Raw genomic sequence first — 26,085 nt, 5'->3', positions numbered from 1 at the left:
AAAGCATACAGTATTTGAGAGCATGAAACTAAAAGTACATTTGAAAGGAACTTAATGTCAACAGCATCTAGTTATTAAAACACTCAACAGGTTTTATGTACACATTTTTACATCCAATATTACTTTTCTCTATCAATAAACCTTCTATCTGGAAAATAAATTGAGAATCATATAATTATATGTATGTGTAAGAGATGGGGAGAGAGAGAGAATGAGAGCAACAGGAGACTGTATTAGTGTGTATGAGAGAAACTGCAGGAAAAAATGTAGATGTATCAGGACACAGGCTATCTCTATATCTTGTTTTCATAAATGTGCATTCAAAACTCACATTCTATCAGTGAATCCAGCTGAAGAATATCAAAGTCATCTTGTGTTAAAATTACTTTTATTCAGGATGAAAAATACAATATGTAACCAGATTAGATGATAGTCTGTGATTAGTTCTTTACCACATATTTCAAAAGAACTACATACTTACTTCCCATTGTTACTGCAATATATTTCTTTTTATTTATTATTACTTAGAAGGTTACAATGTAGTGTTTTACGTAGCTTTTCTTTAATAGCAGATAGAGGACATTTTGCATACAAATACAGGCAGAAAAAAAATTAACACATGACTTTTTAAAGTAAGAACAAGGAAGACACCAAATCTACAACTTGGAGTTGAGAGCTCAGGGAATTGTTTTTTCTTTAAATAGGTGCTTTCTTGGGTATGACATGGCCTGATAAAAGCTCTAGACTTTGCAGACTGCAGCAGCATAAAGCAGTTTCCAATGCAATGGATGAAGATGGATCTGAGGTAGAAAGGTGGTCATGGCTTTCCTTTTTATATAAAACAATTTTCTTCTTTTCAAAATATCTCTGCTGCAAATAGACACCCTTGCCCCCCAACCCACCCAACCTATTCTAAAATAATAGCAATTTCTAACTTTAAGCCTCCTTCTGGCCAGATCCCAGCTAAAGAGAACCCAAAGTTAAAATGTCTTTATGTTTTTATGTCTTTAGGTTTGAATCAAAACATATTATTTTCACCTTTTTTTGGTTCCTCTACATTTGCTAATTAAGTAACATGTTTAAACTGAATCAATTAAATGTTAAATCAGAAGCTAAACCAAAATACATAATTGAATGCACTCAAAAAGATGTAGGTGGAGGTACCATCACCTAAGCATTAATTTCATTCTTCTGTAGAAGCAGTGACATAGACTTTTGATAAACATTCTTTCCAAATATATTGATCAAGTGAAGGGTATAAAAACATCTGATCTTTCACCCGAAAGGTAAAATAAGCCGTGCACTAAATGTGTGTCTGCTTTCAACAAGAAAACAACTAGGAGTTTCAAGAACTATTAAGGACTTGAAAATACAAAACAACAATAAAATTCTCTTTGAAGGGAACCAAAGACAATGATGTGTTCTGGTATCACAATAGGTAAAGGTCTGCTGTGCATGTAATGATGAAAATCAAGACATGGGAACTAGGAAAGGTTGTACTAAATTTTGTTTCTGTGTCAAAATGAAAATATGCTCAAGTGGGCAACCTTTGGTAATATGATCTTTGAGATTATTATAATGTAGTCTTCTTTATCAAATAGATTAAGACATAAAATAAATAATTAATTCCTACTTATATAAAAAGGGAATAAAATGCAGGAAAAATATCCCAAAAGAAATGCCATTTAGGCTTATAGGATTTTTATTACGGTTATCCAAGTGGTCAGCAAAGAAGTAAGTGGGCAACGTCAAATAAAGTTAAACGGCATACACAGGGCTGTAGCTTAAACCATATGTGTGTATATATAAGATATTTGATTGAAATTTATGAATTTATTAATGTGGCCAAATCACGGAAACAAATACATGGATCTATTTGGGATCTAGTTGGTTATATGGCTGATAAACATATGGCTGATAAATTATAAATAACCAAAACATTGTGGTAAAAGAGTCAAAGAAAAAATGAAGTAATTGTGCAAGGTTAATATGAACAGCAGAAGGAATGTAAAAATGTAAAGTGGTCTTCTAATTCTTATGTAAGCTTTGTCATAGTTATTAAAAAGACGGTATCATATTAGAAAGCCCCCACCCACTTTCCCAATGCTGTATACATTATACAAATCCGTGACAAATGTATTACCATTTCCAAATACCTCTCTGTTCATTAATTTACACTTGCATAGAAAGGGAAGAAGAAAACAATAATATATGGTTATTATAAAAACAAAATATCCATTTCTCTTTGGATAGTCAGTGTTTTACTCTTTCAGTAGAACACACAGTCAGCACTCAACATCGTGGGCCAAGGAGCCATGGAGCTTCTGATTTAATGGAACTTGGAATTGGCATTTGCTGAAAAGGGCAACACTGTACGTCAGGAAACATTGGTTGGCCGGATGAATACTTCACATTGCCTATGGGAAGGGAAAATAGCACTGTCAGAAATTTGCACAAAACATTACAGGAAGCAGAGATCTGTCAATTCTTCAAGAAAATAAAAGTGCTTCTTTCAAGAGTCTTAACTCTACTGTGACTTTTGCTTCCTGCAATGAGGTCCCTCCCTCTCATGCTGAAGTTACCTAGTCTGCTTTCTATCACTGCAGCTGATTTAGAGGGAAGTCTGAAAGTCTTTTCTCTTGGCCAGGCTGGAAGCAAAGTTAAAATGGAGAGGACTTCATTTCTTTCTGCTGAAGGTACCAATGGTGAGCGAATGAGGCTGGTGAAAATATCCCATGTCTTCCTGGGGGACTGTGGGAGGTCATCTGTAGAGGGGGTACCCTAACAATGCCAACCATCTTGATCCCAAGCTGGAGTCCAGAGAAGAGGAAGGCAAGGCAGGAATCATAACCCAAGGGTGTTTAGTGGTGCCAGTTAAAGTTAAATGTCCCAGGTCAGAGACAATATAAATCCAGGCCACACTCATGGAAGTGGTATCAACCTTTTGAAGGGAAGGTCAAACATTTGGTCTTCTAAAAGGATTTTGAAATTAGAAAAAAATAAAAAAAAAGTGCTAAAATGAAATCATCCAAACTGGTCCATGCCTCATAAATCATAAAAGGCCTTTCTGGACCCTCAGGAAAGATATTCCATCTGTCTTTACACCTTATTTTATGGGGGACTTTATCCTGCTCCCTGGAAGCATGTTCCTAATGAAGCCACTGGAAAAACTGCCCACGGAGCCCCTCCTTTTCCCAGGTATGCTGAAAGCAGCAAACTCATTTGACTCTGGCCTAGAGCCCATTCTCCATGACTATTCAAATTTGGATTCTTCAGACACTTGCTTCTCCATTTTGAACATTTGATTGCCATGTTAGAGGGAGCAAAAATTCAGCAAACACTGATGGGTTCCAGGCATTGTACTGAGGGGAGGCCCTCCTGTGAAGCAGGTGTGGAAGATATCTCAGCCAGGCAGCCTCATTCAATTGTAATATGAGGTAAGTGCCGGCCACAGTAAATTCAAAGAAGTGGTTTGAGGACAGAGAAGGGGAGAGATTAACCCCATATGAGAAAGGAACATTTTGTTACATATTAATATTGATAACTGAAACTCTGGCGCTGATTCATGTTAAATATAAAGCCAAGAGGATTTTTGAATTGTGCCTATATACTCCATTATCCTTGAGAATGAGATGTGTCTATTAATTGGACACACAATACTGCTCATTTTAGGTGTCAGAATTCTAAAAATTTAAGATCATGCTATGTAAATATTAGCCCAACCCTCCAGGTGAAAATATATACTTTTCATGAATTTCCATTCGACCCAAGACATGAAAAAATGAAGAAAAGAGAAGAGCAGGAAAAAACACATGGAAAGGGAAGGAAGAAAATGGGAAAGGGGCCTCTTGTATTGAGTTACATGTTTGCTCCATCCACTAAGTTGCTGTACAACTGGGAACCATTTAGCTCTTTGTAAACTCAATTTCTAAAATCTAGAAACAGAGTAGGAGGAGAAGGCCTCCTCAGATAATTTTCTGCTTTAAATTCTGAGCACTTGTATTATATCTGAGGATTTTAAAAGATTCTCTCTTCCCTCCTTGCCTTTGTCACTCACAGCCTCATTCCACCTGGGGACCATCAGGACTAACCTCTTTGTACCCTTTATCCCTAATTTTAATGGGCCACCCTAAAAAGCTCTAGACTCCTGGTTGCCCTTCCATCACCTGTATTCTAGTCATATAGAGATCTGCATACCCCTTTTTGTGACCCTATGCCTCACTCTTCCTAGCTCTTGAAACCTGTCCTATAGGTCATGTGGCCTGTGATCCGCAAAACCCATGTTCCCAAACCCTTCTCTGAATGCTGCCTGCATCTACTTGCTCTAATCAATATCTGCATCTACCTGAAGACACAGCTTCCCTCATAACCCTCTCACACAGCACTTCCCCTCCCCATTCTCCCCCATTCCTCATACACTGCATGAGTCTTCCTTGGTCCTCATTGGGGCCTCTGGGGTATCTTCTTTCTCCTCTCCCTAAAAACACCCAGCTTTGAATCTCATATCATCAGACTATATGACTCCATTATGCAGTCATCTACTGACTCCGTAGGTCATGTTCCTTCACTTCTTGAAGTAAAAAATGGCTCAAAGTCCCCTACTCTAAAGCCATTTTTAAATGTTAGTGATTTCAACACCCATGGAGATGATTCTTCCAGCACTCTGGCTTCTTGGTTCTTTAGGCTCTTTTCCTCCAATGGTCCTGTCCTCCAACCTTCTTAGCCATTCACACAAAGGTCCAAATATGGACCATTACCAATACTTGCAACCCCTCTAATTTCAGTATCATTCAACCTAGCTTCTGACAACCACCTCTACCTCCACAGCTTACTTCCCCTACAACTGCAAATTTATCCATCCTTTGACAATAGGATCCATTGATCCTCCCATCTTTATTTCTGTCTCCCACACTGGACATTTCCTCATTCCTTTCACTACTGAGCTTAAGCATCTGGTTCAATCATTATAATCACTTCTTTGCCTCTTCCCTTGAATCACTGTACTCACTTTGTCAAACCCCAACTTCAACTTTTTAAATGCCAATACTCAGCCCATTCTGGTGCCTGTGCTCATGAACGTGAATATGCCTAGAGGGCAACTTACAACCCTGCAGAATGGCCTCATGTTAAATTCATGAGTGGCACCTTTAATGCTGCTTATAGTCACACTCTATTTCCCAGGCCATCTGCTCTTCTATTCTCCAAGAAGCTATCACACATCCTCCAGTCTCTCCTCGCACTTCTGACACCTCCTCCCCAACCTCACTCCCTGCTAAAGTCCCGGCTTCCAATTCACTTAGACAACAGAAGCAAGCAGGAGAGAACACCCACAGCTCACCACACCCCTAGCCTACTTCACATACCCTTGTCTTTTAGTTAAGATCCCAGCCTCTCTTGCCAATAAGACAATCATTCAGAAGGCTCATTGTTTCAAAAAGATTAGTAAACAAGTTCATGAAAGAAAATGTTCTCCAAAGCTGCTGTGGCTTTGTGGCACATTATTACTAAAAGTATGTGATAAGAAAATGTGAATGGAAAACAAAATCTCAGGATCCCTAACTCACTATGCTAAAGGGAAAAATTAAAAGTGGGAACTGAGTCACACAAAAACTACCTTCCTAAGCAGCTACTTGCAAAGATAGAAGGCCAGTGACCTCCCTCACAAATTGCTCACAAGGAAATTTCTAAGGGTCCCCAAATCTTTACCCTAAAACAGAGTTTTGTTGAATTTCACCCTGACAATGTGAATTAACAGCTTATCTTTACAGGACAAAGGCAGGACTAGAAGTCATCTCTCCTCCCACCCTGAGAAAAATGTGTACTTGACTGCTTCTTCTACTCTAGGCATACCTTATCTTAATTATATAAAACGCAGATTTACTGAGCATAAGACAAATGCATAATTGACTGTTCCTCCACCCCCTCCTGCCTGCTCTTTCGTTTCTGTGAAGCCCTCAAAATCCTTTTTGGGAAAAAACAAAAACAAAAAACAAAACAAAACAAAAAAACAAAACAAAACAGGCTACAAATCCTAATGAAATTTATCTCTCTTTTTCCCAGGTGTGTCCTCAACCTTGGCAAAGTAAACCTGTCTCATACACTTTTTGGTTTATAGAAAATACTAAAAGGCATAAGGGTACAGCTGCCAACAGTTCTCAGCAAAATTTTTAAGTAAAAAATTGAAATATTTTCCCCTGCAAAGTAACAAAACCACCTCTGTGGTACCAGTCATTTTTTTTTTAGGTCAATGTTCTGTGATAGCCACCTTAAGTAGACATTTGAGAGAGCAGTGGTGGTCAAATCTATCTAGAGTGACTTTATGTAGCACATAAGATGCCATTAAAAAGCTGTTAGAACACAAAGGATCAAACACATGGTATTTTTGGTATCTGTGGCTTGGGAGCCACCCCCCACTCCCAGACTGACAAACTGTTGTACAGAATCAACTAACATTTAAATGTCAAGTAAGTTTACTTATTTACATGGAGAATAAAGTAGGAATAAAATCAGTCGTGGATAATCTGCTTACTCTAGGTTGGGATCAGTAACATAGAGCCAACCAAGCCATTAACTCTTACCTGTGGCCTGCTGGGAACATTTGCTGAAAGAGAAAACAAAAGAAATCACTTAATGGCAGTCCTGTTACTTTGTTGGTTCCAACTCTCAGGCATGCAAATGCGTGGAAAGTATCACTCTACATAGGGTAATAATAGCCCAGTTGTTAAATGGATGCTAATAGGAAAAACAAGAAACACATTTTTTTTTTCCTGGCTTAATGCTTCAATGAGGGCTAGTTTTCCTGGTTAGTTTCTCATATCCCATGTGATTTAAGATTTAGTGCATACACTAAAGCATTCACTGAGCACTTAGTCTTGCAAAAAATCTCATTTCCTATTTAAATCATACTGTGTATTTGGTTTATGTATCAGAACAGAGCATGTTCTACTTACTTTGCTGAGTACTAATTCTGACCAAGGGACCACTGAAGGCATAAGTCTTTGGTTTCTGCCTCTCTTGACCCACCCTTGACACACCCTGGACCCTAACGCCCAGGAAAATGGTGGCCAAGTACTTGCATCAAGGAAAGTGCTGGCCTAATCCTCAGTGTCCTTCTGGACACTTGGGATAATAATAGTCCCTTGGATGGGCCCAGTTAGGAACAACGGAGAAGTTAGAATATGGCATCTAATTCTCCTTTCCACACAGATAGCTCAATTCCTTTTTGGTTCCAGAGCCCATAACAGTGAAGACGATCTGGCGGGCTTTGCAAGGGCAGCCACTGCCATCTCTTCTCTAAGGCATCTGCTTTTCGTCCCCTCTTTTGCTACATGATCATCTCGTTCTCAATGCTGGGGGGAAAAGAGGAGATCTGTCCCCCAGTAATGGCAACAATCTGTTCTTGGTCAAATAAAAGTTGTCCCTAGTCATCTAGCATGCTGCACTCCTTCCATCTCTCACTGTTCTATGCTGAGTGGGAGAAAGGACATCAGTGACCATGTGCTGTGTGCTGGGAGCTATGTGAGAAAAAAAGAGCAGGCATGAAGAGTACCCTTCCTATAACGTCTGGAGGGAAAGTGTGAGGCCCGGTATTTGGGGGAGAAATCAGGCTAAAAGAAGCCTAGTTCTAACAGATCTGTAAGTTACATCCAGGAGAAAAGAGTGGACCTCCACAGTGTCCAAGGGATAGCTGAGTTGAATTATTATTAAGTACACCATAGGTTTACACACTCTTTTTAAAACAGACAGAGTTATGCTTCTCTTGCAAGTAACAAATATAACAAATAGCCAAACCCTAGACAGAAGTCTAATCCATTTTGCTCTAAACCAATACTTTTAACCTTACAGCCTTTTATCAAATAAAAGGCTATGGGTATTTGCCTGAACAAATCACACAAAAATATTTTAAAAAGGAAATCACTGCATTGCAGTGGGTTTTGGGTTTTTGATGAATGCCATTCAAGCTTAATAAACATAGGCAATTCATAGTAAAAATATGCCTGTGGGTCAAAAATAATTTTGAAAGCATTTCTTGGTCTATCAGCAAAAATTAGTTGGCTTACTGCCAGTATTTCATACATTTGAAGGACATAAGTAAAAAATGGACAAAAAAAATTTATACCAAAAAATAAAAATAGTTACTGCAGTCAGTGGGAATTTTAGTAAGTACACTTGTTAATTGGCAGTACATTTAAACCCCTTTCCTTAACTCCTTGCCAGGAAGTGAAGGAAATGTCTGCTTCTCTGCTCTAAGACTCAACATAAATAATTTTAAAAAGACTTTAAAAGGCCATAATTCAAGGATGCTATCAGGACCAACTGGGATATTAATTCAGACAAAGGAGTTCTAAAGTGTTATGTGCAACAATGTGTAGACACAGTTAAAAAACGGTCATGTTAAAATAGGCAATTCACACAATTAGGATTTATGAATACAGAGTTTCATTTTAATTCCAAGATTGCCAAGAGTGGAAATTCATTTGGGGCCATGCTAATTTTTAATCCACAAAGGATCAAAAGTCAAGATTAACATGAAGATCAATTCATTGTATGCTGGCGACAAGCATTTTTAAAGTTCTCATTAGTTACAGGGGCTCAAGGGATTGGCTTGGCATTGGGAGGGTGCCAATCCGATTTGTTTAGATAAATTCTCCAAAGGTGGTTGGTAAGCTTTGGGAATCACAAAGGCTTATTAAAATATTTGCTGGCTGAGCAACTTTAAAGGGACAAAAGAACAAATGAATCCTACAAAACGTTCTGAGTACTATCTAGGAATGCTACAAGGAAACCTTCCCAGCTAGAAAATGTAATCATTCACTCAAGTCAGAAACATGTATTGGGGCCGGGTGTGGTGGCTCACGCGTGTAATCCCAGCGGTTTGGGAGGCCAGGGTGGGTGGGTCACTTGAGGCCAGGAGTTTGAGACCAGCCTGGCCAACATGGTGAAACCCGATCTCTACTAAAAATACAAAAATTAGTTGGGCGTGGTGGCATGTGCCTGTAGTCCCAGCTACTTGGGAGGCTGAGGCATGAGAATTGCTTGAGCCTGGGAGGTGGAGGTTATACAGACCTGAGATCGTGCCATTGAACTCCAGCCTGGGCAACAGAGTGAGTCTCTGTCTCAGAAAAAAAAAAAAAAGAGAGAGAAAGACACATGCACTGGGCACTGAGTCTACCTCCCACGCTGATTTCTATTTTGCATCAATTTTTAAAAGGTTTAATAATTACAGGCAGAATATGAAAATATGTATCAATTTTATAAATAAGTCAATACAGCTTTTATTTTTATGGAAAGCTGTCCCTGTCTTGTATATAATACCAGAGAAAAAATATGAATAGCAGAACTTTCAGAAGCCAAAAATTAAAACATGGAGATTTCAAAGGATTCTAAAATACACTTTTCATCATTTCATACATGGATGTGCTTGAATTCTTGAAAAGAAGACATGACTAGTAATGCTCATTCAGAAAACTATGACTATTATAAATATTTGTGAATGTGCATAGTTAACACTATGAAAACATGAAGCCAGCTGCTCCAAACCAATACTTTTAAACCAACAGCTTTTTATCAGATAGAAGGCTAAGGGTATTTTACATACAAACATATTTAAAAGGAAATCATTGCATTTCAGTAGGTTTTGAGTTTTTGACGAATGTGACTCAAGCTTAATAAACATTAAGGAATCTCAGGGCTCCATAAACCACTCTCTGAACACTGAGAATGACATTGGTGAAGAGGGGACCAATGCAGGGGAGAGGATGAATCTCTGTGATGTGGGTCCCATTGAAGGTACTGTGTATACTCCTCTCAGAAACCAATATCAATGAACAGCTAACAAGATCCCCAACCAATAGGAATTTTATACTTGCCTTTAAAGTGAGGCCATAAAAAGAGATACATACATTTACCTGTTACAATTCATTTTTGCTCTAAATTATGATTATTTATTTTTAATAATGTTCTGTTTTAAAATGACATGGGTCCAGCTTTTGTAAAATCTGGATGTCAGAGTATACTTTGAGAAAAATTTAAGAGTAAATTCTTTAGGAAATGGAACTTGGAAAAAATCCCACATTTTTAGAATAAAATTTTTAATATGGAAATTATATATTTTATATATATTACAAGGTGTATATTGAAACACATTTCCCATCCTGGCTGTCACTGCCAACTGACTTTTACAATTGAAAATGTCCATGATATTTAAATAAAAACTTCTAAACAGCTTTGATGTACAGAATTTGTTTTTAACTAATTATTAAGGTTATTTAGGTATAAGCTGAACTAAAAAGTAATTTCCTTTAAGAATTTAATTCTGGCTCATAAAGACTATGATGAGATTTTATCTACTCACTAAGTAACATAACAATTGAAAATCAAAACCTCTAAATAAATTTGACCTTGAATTATAATTAATAAACTAGTTTTAATCAGTTTATCTATTACTGTGGTTACAGAGCCTAGAAAATAAGCAACAATCTGGTAGCATGTGAGCATTCAGTGATCCTCTTAAGCTTTTGTGAGACTCTAAAAGCCAAAAGTGTGTCTATATGGGTGTGCACATGCATGCATGTGCTTTGGGGGGTGGGGAGGTGGGGAGGTGGGTGTGGAGACTGATGTAGTGTAAATGTGATTCTGCAAACTTTGAGAAGCATTATAGTAGATCTACAAATGAAAACCTGGGAAACACTGGCAAAACACAAATAGATATATTCATGTGCTGGTGGAAACCATAATATAATCTTCAGGCAAATATTCCTGAAAATTCACAAAGAAATATATGTTTTATTTATTCATTTATTTTGTTGTTGTTGTTGTTTTGAGATAGAGTCTCTGTTGCCCAGGCTGAAGTGCAGTGGCATGATCTCAACTCACTGCAACTTCAGCCTCCCAGGTTCAAGCGATTCTCATGCCTCAGCCTCCCAAGTAGGTAGGACTACAACTACAGGCTTGTGCCACCATACCTGGAAAATTTTTTTGGTATTTTTAGTAGAGATAGGGTTTTGCCATGTTAATCAGGCTGGTCTCAAACTCCTGACCTCAAGTGATCCACCTGCCTCAGCCTGCCAAAATGCTGGAATTACAGGCATGAGCCACCGCACCTGGGCCAGAAATATATTTTAAATAGCTGTTTTCACATTCTGCTAATGATGGTATTTTAAAAATTACAAAGTTCTATACAGTAAATAATAATCTTTAAATGAAGTCAATATATCTTATTTACCTACACTCCTGATAATTGATAATCTCTTTTTCATCATTTCGGATGGCTTTTTTTTTTTTTTTTTTTTTTTTGGAGAGGAAGTCTCACGCTGTCTCCCAGGCTGGAGTGCGGTGGCACGATCTCGGCTCATTGCAACCTCTACCTCCCAGGTTCAAGCGATTCTCCTGCCTCAACCTCCTGAGTTGCTGGGATTACAAGTGCATGCCACCATGCCCGGCTACTTTTTGTATTTTTAGTAGCGACAGGGTTTCACCATGTTGGTCAGACTGGTCTCGAACTCCTGATCTCATGATCCACCTGCCTCGCCCTCCCAAAGTGCTGGGATTATAGGTGTGAGCCACCGTGCCCAGCCTGGGATGGCATTTTCTAAGGAGATGACAGACAAGGGTAAAATAAGAGGCTATGCTTTACATGAATTCTTATTTTAGTGACTGCCCTGGATTTAAAATCAGTTTGAGAGTAAATCTCTCTAAAATTACAAATAATGTCTTCAAATCCTGTCAAAGATTATTTAAAATATAATTATAGTACTAAGTAATTTATATGCATTTATATATTTGTATGTGTGTGTGTATATATATGTATACATATATACAGTTTACTTGTATGTATATATTCTGCTAGAAACACCAGAAGTGTTTTAGGTGAGAGCTCAGCCAAAATTGCAAGGTGGCAAGGTGCTGAAGACAAAACACTTGGAAAAAATGAATAAGTAAGAATTATTATATAATTTCCCCAGGAATTTGGTTATTTTCTGGCTCTTGGTTGTTCAGATGGAAACTTCACAGGATCCTAATCTATGATGACTTAAATTGTTTGGCCTTTATACAATGACTATTTTATTCCATGAGAAAAGAAACCAGCGGGAATAAAAAGGGAAAATCTGAAAACAATCCCTTTCTGCACTGGAGTCTGATGACATTGGAGAACAATGTTTGAAGAAAAGAGAGGGAATTACACTAGAAAGGCTGTTTCCATGCCTTGTTTGGCATGCCACTGAAAGCTCTTCTTTGAACTAAGATGTGTTCCTTATGATAGCTTGCATCGAAGAGGATAATTTCTTCTTAAAACCAGACTTATTATTTTATTTGCTTTCATTTTATCACCCATCAGGCATATTGAAAAATCTCAAAGAGCAGAATTGCGTTGCGACTGTACCCCCGTTACTTGATAGTATCTAGGTTGAGCTTCATTTTCTTATATAATGTTTGCCTTATTTTCAAATAATATTCAGTCCTGTTTGTAATAAGGTTTTTGTTATCTTAAGGAAGAAGGCGAAGGGCCGCATGCAGAAAAAGAGAAAGGGAAGGAACACGTGCAGCTGTGGTGCTGCAATCTTTCATACTCACGGCAGCAAGATGGAAACGTGCTGTGAATCTGCTCCATGACCTCCGTGAGATCCGTGCTGGTGTCGTGCGGTGGGGCCAGCAGGTCCTCTCCCGCTGTGACAGCAAATAAAGAGAACAACAAAGCTTCTCAAATTAATGTCTAGCCTTCCACTAAAACCCAAATTCAGGAGGAAATACTCCAACCAGCCTCTAAATATCAATGTGAAAAGATTTCCCATTGCAAAGGACAATTTTAGGGGAATATACCCAAAACATTTTTGCTTGAGTGTTGGTAATATAATTTTACATAATTGACACGTACTAGCTGTTTGTTTGTGTAGAAAGAATCCACACACCAGGGGACTGAAAAATATGAGACTGAAAAACAAGTAATATGGTCTTATTATTTCAGTGTTTGAATGAGAAATCTATTATTTTTGCACCACAGGTATGTTTTCATACAAAAAAAATTTCACCAATTTCTTTTTCTGTCCTCCTTTCTTTTTGGAGACTTCAGCTTAGGCCAGCTTATCCTGCCACAAAAGTAAAGGCATCTTATTTAAGATACTTTTCACTAGGATGTGTTTTTTATCCTATAATCCATAGTCAAGATAGTTCTCTTATTTAAAAAATATGAAAATAATCTTAATATTTTAATATATATATTTTTTGAGATGGAGCCTCCGTCACCAGGCTGGAGTGCATTGGTGCGATCTCGGCTCACTGCAACCTCCGCCTCCCAGGTTCCAGCAATTCTCCTGCCTCAGCCTCCCGAGTAGCTGGGACTACAGGAGTGCTCCACCACGCCTGGCTAATTTTTGTATTTTTAGTAGAGATGGGGTTTCACCATGGCCTCCCAAAGAGCTGGGATTACAGGCGGGAGCCACTGCATCCAGCTAATATTTTAATTTTTTTCTGGTTAATGTACCAAAAGATATCCCACCAAGAAATTAATTTGGTTACAATATATCGTTCTCAGTAAAATTCTAGAATTTTAATTTAATTGATAACAAAATGTCATTGGTTAACACCTAGTTTACTGAGTCCTTCCTAGCATCAGTGACAGGTCCCCATTGTGACCAAGGACAGGCTGCGTGGGACCGCTGCCTCTGATGGGACAGGCAAGACAATGTCTAAGTGGACTAGGACGAAGAAAAGTGAATAAATGAGTTTCCACACCTTGGCAGATACAACCATAATGTTTGGTGTAATATTATTAGTCCTGAATATGCACCAATGTAACATTTTAGAGACAGAAAGTGTACTAAAAAAATCATTCATAAGCAAATAATTTAATTTCTTGCTCATTCTAAAGGGCAGAGGAGGCTTTTTCATCCAAACTTCAATCCACTTCTACAGATTATATAAACAAGTGTATTATAGCTTATTTGAAAATGTTTGCTTTTTGATATTGTTGAAATGGATTTGCACCTATTTAAGACCAAATACAAAAAACTCTTTTACTTCCTAAGGCACCAGTGTGTAGGAATGTTACTTAACAGGAAACACAAACTAATGGCAAAGCACAAAGCAGACTCAGCAGAGGAGCTGTGTGCTGGGGACACCGACCTGCCTGGTGGAACTGTGGGCCGGAGGCATCTGGATCAAGCGAGTAGCTCAGTGCAGAATGCTGAGGAGAAGCCCATGGGGAAACACCATTGATTCGGGAATCAGATTCAGGCTGGAACCACATTCAGAGGTTAAAGCAGAGAAAGGATTCAAATAATCATAAGGAAAAACATTTCCTTTTTAACTTCCCCGCCCTCACCATGGATAATTAAATCATATAGAAGTCTTTGCCTTCAGATGTTTTCCATACATTTTAGCATCAGCTTGGTGGGGGCTTTGGTCCTTCTCTTTCCGCTTGGACACCTTGAAGAATCCACTTGGTTATGCTGCCAGACTCATTTATCAACACCATTTTTATCCCTCAATTTTTCTGTTGTTTTAATGTTAAGTGAATTCATAAGCATAGTTCACTCATATTTTAAACATCAGCACTGGGTTTCTAATACAGTAAATTTATCCAATTTCAAAATCAGCTCATACTCCAAGGCAATATTGAGAGAGTGATTAGAAGCATGATTATGGATTCAGATTGCCTGGATTCTAATTCCCACTCTGCCACTCATAAGCTGTGTAATTCTGGGAAAACTGTAGAACCTTCCATGCTTTCAGTTCTTTATTTGTAAAATGGGGAGGGTAATAATAGTGCTGTGTTATAGAGTTTTGTGAGGGGAGTGAAGAATGACTATTTCTAAAATGGTTAGAACAGCCTGACACTTAGTAAATACTTCGTAAAGGCACTCACGCAAATCTTCAATATGGATACGCTGACAAATATATGGTCAAATTAGAAAGTGTGAGCCATCATATAGGGAATGCAGATGTTACAAGTTTTTCATGCAGATTTTTCCATTAAATCTATATTAGTTGAAGCCTGGTAGTTCTGCTAGTTTTTACTATTAGAGTTGAATTTTCCATCTACTTCTAGCATTCATCATCCTAAATTGTTTAGAAGAGATAAGAGCTCTGCAGTCTTGGATATAGAAGCCATTTGGATATTAGCTATCTCTAAAAGCATTGCTATGTGATTCTCAAGGCACATGAGCCATCAGGCAGCACTGTCTAATGGGATGGAGGGAGTAGGGGAAGGCAAGGGTGAACAGAAAAGCCTTTTGCTCTCCTGTGGGCATCAACCAGCCATGGCAAATAAAGGTTTTGAGCACAGCTTCCTTCTGTAGCAATTCCACCTATGCACTAAGTTGTTAACACTAACACTTCATATTCTAAACAAGAGATTGCAAGAGAAAATCCATCCCTTACACAGCACCATTTGGAAACTTCAAGTTCGCGGAATGAAAAATGTAACGTTTTCAATGTATGTGGCTGGCACTAAGTAAGACTCAAACATTCCGAAGGGCTTCAAGAAACCCACGTCTTGGGTCACTCTTGGGAAACTCTTACTTTCCAAATTGTGGGATTGAGAGGCCCTGAAGTAAGCCTTCCATTGAACAGCCTCACCCAAATTCTGAAACACTGAGAGACATAGAGAAAAGTGTATGGTCAAATTATGAATTGCCTACACAAATTTCTGTGTAGGTAAGGCAGAAATGACACTGTTTTGAATTATTCTGGTAAGTTAAAAAGACTGAGAGCAACTGTGAAAAGGCAGTTTTCTAAAATTTGAGAGAATCACTGGAGAGAAAGTTGTTCCTGCTTTGAGTCAATAAATCATTTCTGGAGAAAGGCACTCCTATTATATCACATAGGAGCTCCACACAGCACAGGCTAGAGAAAAAGACTAAAGATGACATGCATGTTGATGTCAGGGATTCTTCAAGAGAGAGGAGCTCTTGGCCCCTGTGCTGGGACTCTACGCTCTCTGCACCTGCTGCAAAGGTCTCTCCATCACTACTTCTGAGACATCACTCCTATTCCTAACTACTATGTGCCATCAAGCACTTAATTCCCTACAGTGTGCTGTGTCTTCACATATGAAAGTATCTTGCTGTGATCTCTAACAAGATGGCAGGCACCAGAAAGGCAGAAACTGTATTGATGCTTCTTTTATATCTCAAAGAACAGTGTTTTTCAAAACTGAATGCAATAACCCACCGATGAGTTATAGAATCAATTTAGTAGGTCCTGACCAGCATTAAGAAAGAAAAACAGAAGGAAGAAAGGGAGGGAGGAAGAAAGGGAAAATAGAAAATAAGAGCTGGCATTTCTCTATAAAGGCAAGTATTATTTTGTATTCTCCATACATGCATGTATTCATCTTAATGTAAATTGTATTTCTTATCATCCAGAAAGCTTGCAAGCAACTCCCATAAAACATGGTCCAGTGTTAGGAAATAATAGTAGCAAATTAATAACCATCTTTAACTCAATTTCTTGAGAATAGAAAATAATGATTCTTGGAGTCAGCATTCTTGTCTCACTGGAAGAAAGCTTTAGAATGCCGATTTCAGGTCTCTTGCTGTTCCTTAATACAGATGCTTCCCATGTATAATTTAGGAAGATATATGTCATAGGATATTTTCTCTCAAACAGTTCAGAGCTGAGGCGGACTTCATTGTTAAAGAAGACTGGGAAATTCCATTGTAAGCTGGGCAAACACATTTTTGTGTGCCAATGAGGATTTATATGCTTACATGTAAAAGGAAATTTCTAAGCCAGTCTGAATTAACTACGGAGGTAAGAAATTGAAAGTGGACTTCTCTGCCTCTCCTGACACCTGGACCATCATCTCCCAGGGCAGTGGACAGATGGCCTGGGGAGGTGTGACGCTGAATTCTACACACCCTACCTGCTCCAGCAGCTGTCGGAGGCGGTGGAGCTGAGACTCCAGCTGTTTATTGTGATCTTCTAAAATCTGCATCCTAGCCTCCAGCCGACCTTTGTGCTGCCTGAGGAGTTTTGCTTCTGCTATAAGTTCTGAATCCTCAGACGTGTGATGGGGAGATATAATCGACTCTGGCGGTGAACCGACAGGGAGCCCCCTTCGGAGGTGCTGGTCCTTCAGCTGCTCATACTCCACCTGTAGATTTCTAATACAGAAAGAGGGAGAAACAGAATGACTACCACGTGCATTATCGTCTCTCCAAAATCGTCTGTGAGGTTCAAATTTAGCTCATGCTAGTTCCTCTTATATAAAAATGTGTATTAATAGCAGGATGAGCATGCAGGAATAAAATTGTAGTTTTAAGCAAGTGTCCCAGTAGACATCATCAATGAACCCCCAAATGCTGCTGTATTGCAGCCAGCATCCCAGTTTGTTAATAGCCTCTAAAATTTTCACTCCACTGAGATTTCTTAGACAATAGTCTTGAAAAAGAGAATAAATGGGGGCTACAGTGAAATTCATACAAAAGAAAGGATGACATATTTCCTTCTCCCAGGCCTAGCACACCTTTGTTCTTCCTCCAGGTCAGCAATGATCCTCTCCAGTTCTCCACGTTCTTCCCTCTCTACTGACTTCAGGATCTGAGCTGGGCTCTGCGGCTGGCTCACTGGGGACTCTCCTCCGAGTGTTTGGCAATACTGCTGGATGAGGGCGTGCTCGTCTTCCCTAGCAAGACAAAGGAAACAGACCCAGAGGCTCACATCTGGATGGTGATGTTTTTGGACATAAAGGAAGTAGAAATAATGATGGACAGGATAGTGGCTGGGCCAAGTTTGTCTTAGAGCTCAGTGTCTCCATGACCTCCCTTTTAAAACTCTAGGAAGAAGTTCATCTAGCAGAGCATGGATATTACATGAGTCAACATTTCAGGCTTCTCTTTCATCTAACAGCTCTATCTCATAAACTTCAGAAGGGATATCTTACTCAGCAGAAAAAACAAAAATAAGGAACAGCATTTAGTATAAAAGCTACTGTAGACAAAATCAATTACTCCATGCCTAAAGAGTTGATTAAAAGACTACTGAATTAAGAATCATCTGACTTCACTGTCTTTAGAATTTCGTTGAAAGTAACTTTGAAATGCTTTGTAACCCATATGACAAGGTTTATAATCCTTATGTTCTTTTATTTAAATAGCTCAGCACAAATTATAATTGTAGATATTTATAATGTCTCTACAGATATTTTACTTTATATTATTAGCAGGTCATTTTTAGGGTTGATCACTCTGCATTAGAACAAGAAACTACATTTAATGCATGTGGGTTCTCCCACTTATCTAACTACCTGTCTAATGAACTAGACATAGCAGTAACGTGGTTGAATTAGTAACTGACATAAGTGAATGTCTAACAAAGTTGATATATTTATGGCAAGAAAATGCTTTCTAGCAGACTCGGAATTTCTTATCTTCTTTCAACAAGAGAGATCCAGTGAGATCTTATAAATGTGCAAATACCAATCTCCTGGCTAATACTAGCAGGGCAGTCCATTAGCAGATGGCACGTGGTCCGTTTTGATGGCTTTTGGTAAACAAGTCCTGGAAATCGATGGCTTTACAGGATAGGGCAGCAGGAAAACCTCATGTCAGTTATGTAGCTATCAGAGTGTCAAATGGGGCTATCTCATGACTGAAGCAGCTCCTTCCTGTGTAAGCGATGGGGGCTGCGAACATCCCTTAGAGACTTCTTCTGTTACTCTGGAGTCAGACAGCATCCTGTTGCAGCCAGAAAGAACCTGGTGTGTGGTGCTGGCAGTCCTGGGCCTCTCTCAGCTTCACCAGAGCCTTGAGATTACCTGTGCCCTTGAGCTGATGAGTAACACTTGATGCTGGGGAAGACCTCTGGTACTTGTAATTCTGGTTTGAAAATTCATCTTGGTGTTACTGCAGTTTACTCTAACAAGGAAGGGACTTGAAATTGTATCAGACAGTTGGTGAATTCCTAGAAAAGGTTTATCCTAAGCATTGAGATCAGAGAGCTAGATGAAGCAATTGAGAAAACTGAACGTTCTGGTATTATGCTTGTCAAACAGCCAAAGCAAAAGTTCAGATGTGCCACTTGTTGATTTATTTTGCTTTCTTCATCAATAAACCCCCTCTCTTTTTCTCTCCCTCTAGAAATATATAGATATAGATATGAACATGTGTGTATGTGAGTATATATATATTTAAATAAAGGTCATATACTTTGGTTAAGGCCACAATATAATAATAAGTACCTAACCTGACCTTCTTGCTTTTATCAAATAAATTTTAAAAGAGGATGGGGTGGGACCCTTACAACACAGTTAGCAACTGGAAATAAGGAACACCAGTGGGTTAAGGATTGAAGTAAGCTGCGGCATTATCCTTTGATTCCCTTTCCTGAGAAAACGCAGCATCACTGGGAAATGAATGAAGGAACCTCTGCAAGAACCCCATGCTTGTTCCTGGGTTTAGAAGGACGAGAAGAAGAGAGTATGGGTACTGCACCACTGCAGAGAGCAGCATTTGAAAGCAATCCAAAAGCTCCTCAGTTTCCCATGTAGCTAAATCAAACAGACTGGCAGGGAGATATGGGTCTGTGTATGTGTATATTTTCCTCATAGGAAGTAAATGGCCAACACCCTAAACCTAGCTGTGTTATCCGGGGCAGAAGCAAGCTGTAAGACTAATGTCTCAACACCACCAGGACACCAATGAGCTGCAGTGAATTACACAATGCAAAGTCAGCGATGCCTGGAGGCACCTCACCAAGTTCATGTGAAGAGAGAGGTGATAAAACATGACAAAAGAGCAGCTCTAACATATGGATAGGACAAATGGACAAAGCGTAAAGATATAGTAGATAGATATAAAATAAAACAGCAAAATAAGAGTTCAGTAGAACATCCTGTAAATATTTCTCATTTCTCAGGATGAAAAAGATCTGAGTATAGAAACTATAAAGACAGAGTACCCAAAAATAATAATAACAAAAGAAGCACATTCATATGTATCCCTGGAAAATGTCTGTATTTTAAAGATAAAGTATCACAAGCAATCTGCCAGAAATCAAAATAAAACAGTAAATCATGTTCAGCGGTGGAAAAAGGTTTAGCTTCCTATTTTCCATAATATTAAATGTCCAAAGACAATGGAGCAATATCTACAGTCCTAACCTATCCATCCATATGACCAGGCAGGTCATTCAAGTGTACAGGCAAAGCACTTTGTCCACATAGCATATGAAAGAAAGAATGAGCAAGGATAATGCAAAATGGAACTAAAGTAGATGGTAATCTCAGGTGTTACGATAAAAATAGAGGTAAACTTATTCTAATATTAGTTAAAAAAACAATTAGTTGGCTGGGCACGGTGGCTCACGCCTGTAATCCCAGCACTTTGGGAGGTCGAGATGGGCAGATCACTTGAGGTCAGGAGCTTGAGACCAGCCTGACCAACATGGTGAAACCCCATCTCTACTAAAAATACAAAAATTAGTTGGGCTTGGTGGTGGGCACCTATAATCCCAGCTACTCGGGAGGCTGAGGCAGGAGAATCACTTGAACCCGGGAAGCCAAGGTTGCAGTGAGCTGAGATTGTGCCACTGCACTCCAGCCTGGGCGACAGAGTGAGACTCTGTCTCAAAAACAAAACAAAACAACAAACAAAACAAACAAACAAAAAATTAGTTCTATGATACCTATCAATAACATACCTAAAAGAAAATAATAAATATGGAAAGAAAAGACTTAAAATAAGAACTAATATAAGGACAACAAGAATTAAAAGAAAACTTGGATCCCTTTAAGCTATGTGGCTGATCTTGTGGCCATGATTTGACCACAGATCCTGGCGTAGAGTTCCTCCAAGATCACAAGCCACCATTATGCCCTCAGAACATTTACTACAGCACCTGACCTCATGGATTAACTTCAGTGCTTAATATTAATACCAAGTAAATTTTTGTTTTAAAGATTTGGAGACTGACTATCCATAGTGAAACCAGCCAAAATTAGATTTGAGATGTATTTTTGTTGTCAACATACATATAGATTCACTTCTCTGGGGAAGCTGATAGAGTTTAACACATTATTATAATTATCATCCCCACTATCATTGCATTCTTTCATTATGGTATCTGGAAGAGAGTTAAGGCAGTTTTCACAAAAATAAGAATTTAACAATCATTTATATAAAACATACAATTTTAGTCTTAAGTGTTTTTCACAGATTATTAGGTCTAAATGTTGAATATAAAAATAGATACATTCTAGTTCTTAATTACATATAGTAAAAACCAATAACAAACTCTTTAAATGCAGATAGAACATGAGGTACCAGATCAGGGACATTAAACATCAATCGTATGTCTTGGGCTAAAATAGAAAATGTTGCAAAAATAATAGGTTTGCACCAAGGAAATATCATTAGATGGAATATAATTATACTACAGTTAAGTCACACATAGTAAACACTATCTAGATTACAAAATTAGTACATATCAGATGACAAAAAAACTGTGATTCATTCAATGAACTTTTGAAAGTAGACAAGACATAAATAAAAATAATGATTTTCTTTCTTTTAAGGATTGTTCTGTTCTAGGTTTCAGATTTGCAAACTGCAATGCCTGTGTAAACCACAGTCAGCCTCCCCATTCTTTCTTTCCAGTGTCACCCAAGGGCAGATGGCAGATGGAGTGAGACGTCCTGATAGCCATGGCCCAAGGAATTGTCCTTGCGTTCCCACTTCTGAGATTCCCCAGAACCGTCATGAGTCCTATCCTGTCCTGAGATGTCACTGCTCAATTTTTCCTTCAAAGATATGTAGTATTCGTAACATCAATTTCCTTTTAAATTGTCCAGAGTCAATCGAACGTACTCATGTATCTAATTGTAATAGATATATGGGTGATCAGGGACATGTCATTTATCTTTCTGGATGTCAGCTTCCTTGTTTATAAAATAGGACTCATAATAATGCCCATCCTAGGGTTCATAGGAGATTATTTGTTTCCTTGCATCATCTAGCACCTTGAGGTCACCTGCATTCCTCATTTTCAAAGCCAACACAGCAGCATCTGCAGATCTCTCTCTGACCTCTGCCTCCATTGCTACGTCTCCTTCTCTGACTCTGGCTCTCCTTCCTACCCTTTATGAGGACCCTTGGGATTACACTGGGGCCATCTGGATTATCCAGGATAATCTCTCTATTTCAAGGTCCTTAATTAAAAACCTGTGGCAAAGTCCCTTTTGCCAAGTAAAGTAGTATATTCATAGGCTTCAGGGATTAGGATGTGGACATCTTTGGGGGGCCATCATTCTGTTTACCACAAATGCCTTCATCATGTTCTTCTGGTAGGACTACTTATCTATTTCCTTTCTAGCCTATAAGATTCATGGAGACAGTATCTGCATCTATAGACCTATTGCAGTATTGGGTGCATGGCGGTCGTGAGTTGGTAAATGTTTAACAGGTTCTCCAAGAGAAAAAGACCTTGATTTGTGGCATTTGCAACTTCTGTGATTTAAATACTTTTTGATCATGGCCAATTTCAAGTTCATGACTTCACTGAATGTGGAACTGGGAAAAGATACACATTTGTACACCACCTGACAGAGATAATGAATCAGGAGTATTCAATCTTTTGGCTTCCAGGAACCACATTGAAAGAATAAGAATTTTCTTGGGCCACACATTAAATACACTAACACTAATGATAGCTGATGAGCTAAAAAAGCAAAAAAAAAACAAAAAACAAAAAACAAAAAACAAATCACAGACAAATCTTATAATGTTTTCAGAAAGTTTATGAATTTGTGTTGGGCTGCATTCAAAGCTGTCCTGGGCCACATGTGGCCTGTGGGTTGCAGGATGGACAAGTTTATAATAAATAATCCCAAGGGCATAGATATTAGTGAAATGAAGTAAAATCATTAGGGTGTGATGAGTTTTGAGAATTACTTTTGTTTTTGTTTTAATCTAATTTATTTAATTGTAACTGTATATACATGTATATAAATTATTTTTAAAAAGGCTCTGTTTAACAGCTTACAAACATCCTGAAAATGTAACAATCAGCTCTCACAATTGGCTCCAGCATACCATTACATGGTAGGTATATATTAATAACAACTGTCTGTTGGATGGGTGAATGAGTTAATATATATAATGACAGTATATTAAAATGTATCTGACTGTTAATCTTCTGACTTTTTTCTTTTCTTTTTAAAAAATGTTAATCTTTTCTGAAACAGTGCTAAATCTGAAAATAGTATTTATTCCTATTTTAAGATACAATATACTAAATTTGAGCATTACCTTTACTGTGTTCACAGGGCATGACAAAACATTTTAAAGAAGTAAGATTTTGTTCTGAATTATTATCTTTTATTTCCTTTAACGCTTTGGCTATGGTCAGCCTTGAGGAAATTTGTTGATTTAGGAAAGATTCAAGATACTTAACTACTTTACATGAAATGCACACCAGTAGGTTAAATATGAAACAAACATTATGAATACACCTTTATTTTGATTTGGGAATTGTTTCACACTCATAGTACATGAATGATAATGTATAAATCTCTACTACATTACTGTCAAGTATTAAGATGCAATCTTTGAAATTTGAAATTGAAAAACCTCCTGATAACTTTTATTTATAACCATAATAAATAAAACAAGTTTTAGAAAATATGGAAAGAGAATATTCTATATTTGAGCACTTTAAGTATTTTAACCTAGCACTCTCCATAGTTTTTTTTTTTTTTTAGTGAAAACACCCAACTACTATGTTTGACAACTTTTCTGTCTACTTTACAGATTCCCATCAGATCCAAACCACAATAGAGCTTTGTTAGTCACATAAGCTTGACAGTATTAGTCTTTTAGATATTATTCAGGATTAAAAATGTGAATTCCAGGGCACAAAAAAAAGAATAAAAAGTTCCAAAAGTAAGAGTACACACAATAGTGGGATAATCAGTGATAAAATATTTGCTGAGAAAGTTCCACAACCAAGTGGAATATACACATATGGGGAAATCAGAAATAAACTAATTGGCTAGAAAGCTTTTTAGTATATAATATCTTTTTAGTATTCTAAAGTCAATGAGGCTTTTCTTAGTTGCTAATAAAATAAAATATTGGCAGAGGAGTTAACAGTTTTCAATGAAGGGTAGGAGTATATATCTAAGTATGTGTGGGTCAGAGGTGCTAAATGCAGATATTATGGAAAAAATGTTAGCTAGTGGAAGAAAGAGGATTTCACAGAAAGGGCACATATTCTGTCAAATTACCTTTGTTAAATTAATAAGAAATATAAGACAAATGGAATGAATATATACACCTGTTATCCTAAATAAAACAATCTGATTTTCGTGGGGTATATAAGTTGACAAATGTAAGATTTTTTTCATTAACTTATATGAAACAAAGTAAATAAACATATTGAGTTTATACTATCATGGTTTGAAAGCATAAAATCTACGTAGAAATTTTTGGAACCACACTTAATAATTTTGATTGGGATCAAGATTCAGAGCCACATCAGTGAAGATTGTTTCTGACAGCCATAATACAAGAACTAGCCTTCCCAGGCAGCACTAATTTCATGATTTACTTACACACTTCCTGTGGTGGAGCTGCTATCAGTGAGAAAAGACCCATTAGTCCTTTCCATCTGGGCCAGTCTGCAAAATAAAAATAAGGAGGTTAGACAACATGGCCATATAGGACATGGTCAATTGGACGTACATCCTTAATCATTTTTAAATTGTCAAAATTCTGACAAAACATAGAAAGATCCAAATCTCCTAACACGACTGTAAAACTAAAACGTTTCATGTTGAGCTACCTTTCTATCACCACTGCCTTAATGCCTGTAGGCCTTTATCTTACGCCATGTTGTAAAGTCTCCTAACTGACCTAATCTTCTAATTGAGCTCCCAGACCTAGGCTTTCCTTAACCCTCTAGTTGGTCTACATCTAAGTGAGCGTGACATTCTCAAACAAATAAAATGATGTTCCTCTCATAACAAAAACTCTCCATGACTTCCCTTCAACTAAGGACATGATCCAACTCTTCAGTGGCTGGGTTTTTCATTATCAGACCTCAACTTCTGTGTCCTTCACTTTCTCATCTATTTCTCTTTCCCCTACCTGCAGTTCAGTAAACAAACCATGCCCTTTCCCAGCTCAATGCTTTTGAGTATATTATTCCATTAGTCCAAGACTTTCCCCTAGAAATTCTAGTTGGCCTAGACCCAGTTCAAATGTTACCATTTTTATGATGCTTGAATTAACCTTTCTAGGCAAAGCTACTTACTAGAATCACAGACACCTAGTATATACCACTTTTCTGAAAGTCTGTGCACACCATCAAGACCAGCCTATATATTATTTAGAGACTCTAAAATAAACCCCTATCCTAAAGCATTAGCATAAATTTAATTACATATTGTAATTCACATGTGCACCATCTCCTGAGAATACCTGCAATCCCACTTTCATTTACTGAAACTTGGTTACACCATCTAAATCCTGCTTGTACAGTGTTTGGATTCTCATTAGCTGGAGAATCACATCCTGGTTAGGTTTACTTTTCATAGAATATATAGCAGGTGTTTGGTAAAGTGCAAACTGTGTCATGAAAATATGAGAGCCCAAATTCCAAATATAATGGAATCATAACTCCTGCAAAACTGCATTTCTTAAATCAAGGTATATTAATGATATTAGATTAATTAGACATAGATACATTCTGGGTGGCAGTGCAGTGGAGGGCTCTGATCAAAGTTTCTTACCGTGTGGCATATTGTTCTATTCTTGAATGGGTGTCATCATGAAACAGTTGAGGAGATTGTGAGGGGCTTTAAAAGAAAAAAACAAAGCAATAATTTTATGCCCAAATATTGATAGGTGTTACTATTAGAAATGTTAGGTTACTTAAGTAATGAATCTGCCATGCAAACAGACCACTAGGATTGTTACCCGGAACACAGAAGTATTATTTTAGACCAAGAGTTTAGTAAGACCCCCATGCTAGTACCACTGATCAGAACACCTCTCCTGCACGTGGGCTATGAATACTCACTCATAGTGCTCTGGCCACATACTGATGAGTGTGATAGGACTGCAAAGAGGGGAGAGGGAGACAAAA

At 37.9% G+C, this 26,085-nt stretch overlaps 1 protein-coding gene across 2 annotated transcripts in view; it reads right to left on the bottom strand.

Annotated features, from left to right (window-relative positions):
• The window catches only part of UTRN (utrophin), a 567,700-nt gene continuing 541,986 nt past the window's right edge, over positions 372–26,085 (bottom strand). For both annotated transcript variants that reach the window (NM_007124.3, NM_001375323.1), the window contains 9 exons: positions 26,020–26,058; positions 25,730–25,795; positions 24,551–24,616; positions 17,468–17,626; positions 16,865–17,105; positions 14,122–14,233; positions 12,574–12,666; positions 6,579–6,601; positions 372–2,417 (listed from right to left, as the gene is read on the bottom strand). In NM_007124.3, coding sequence (NP_009055.2) covers positions 2,409–2,417; positions 6,579–6,601; positions 12,574–12,666; positions 14,122–14,233; positions 16,865–17,105; positions 17,468–17,626; positions 24,551–24,616; positions 25,730–25,795; positions 26,020–26,058 — 808 coding nt within the window. In that variant the 3' untranslated portion in view covers positions 372–2,408. The remainder of the gene's footprint in view (positions 2,418–6,578; positions 6,602–12,573; positions 12,667–14,121; positions 14,234–16,864; positions 17,106–17,467; positions 17,627–24,550; positions 24,617–25,729; positions 25,796–26,019; positions 26,059–26,085) is intronic.

This window comes from Homo sapiens, chromosome 6 (assembly GCF_000001405.40).
Source record: "Homo sapiens chromosome 6, GRCh38.p14 Primary Assembly".
NCBI classification, from domain to species: Eukaryota; Metazoa; Chordata; class Mammalia; order Primates; family Hominidae; genus Homo; species Homo sapiens.
This window is presented reverse-complemented; position numbering and strand designations above follow the sequence as displayed.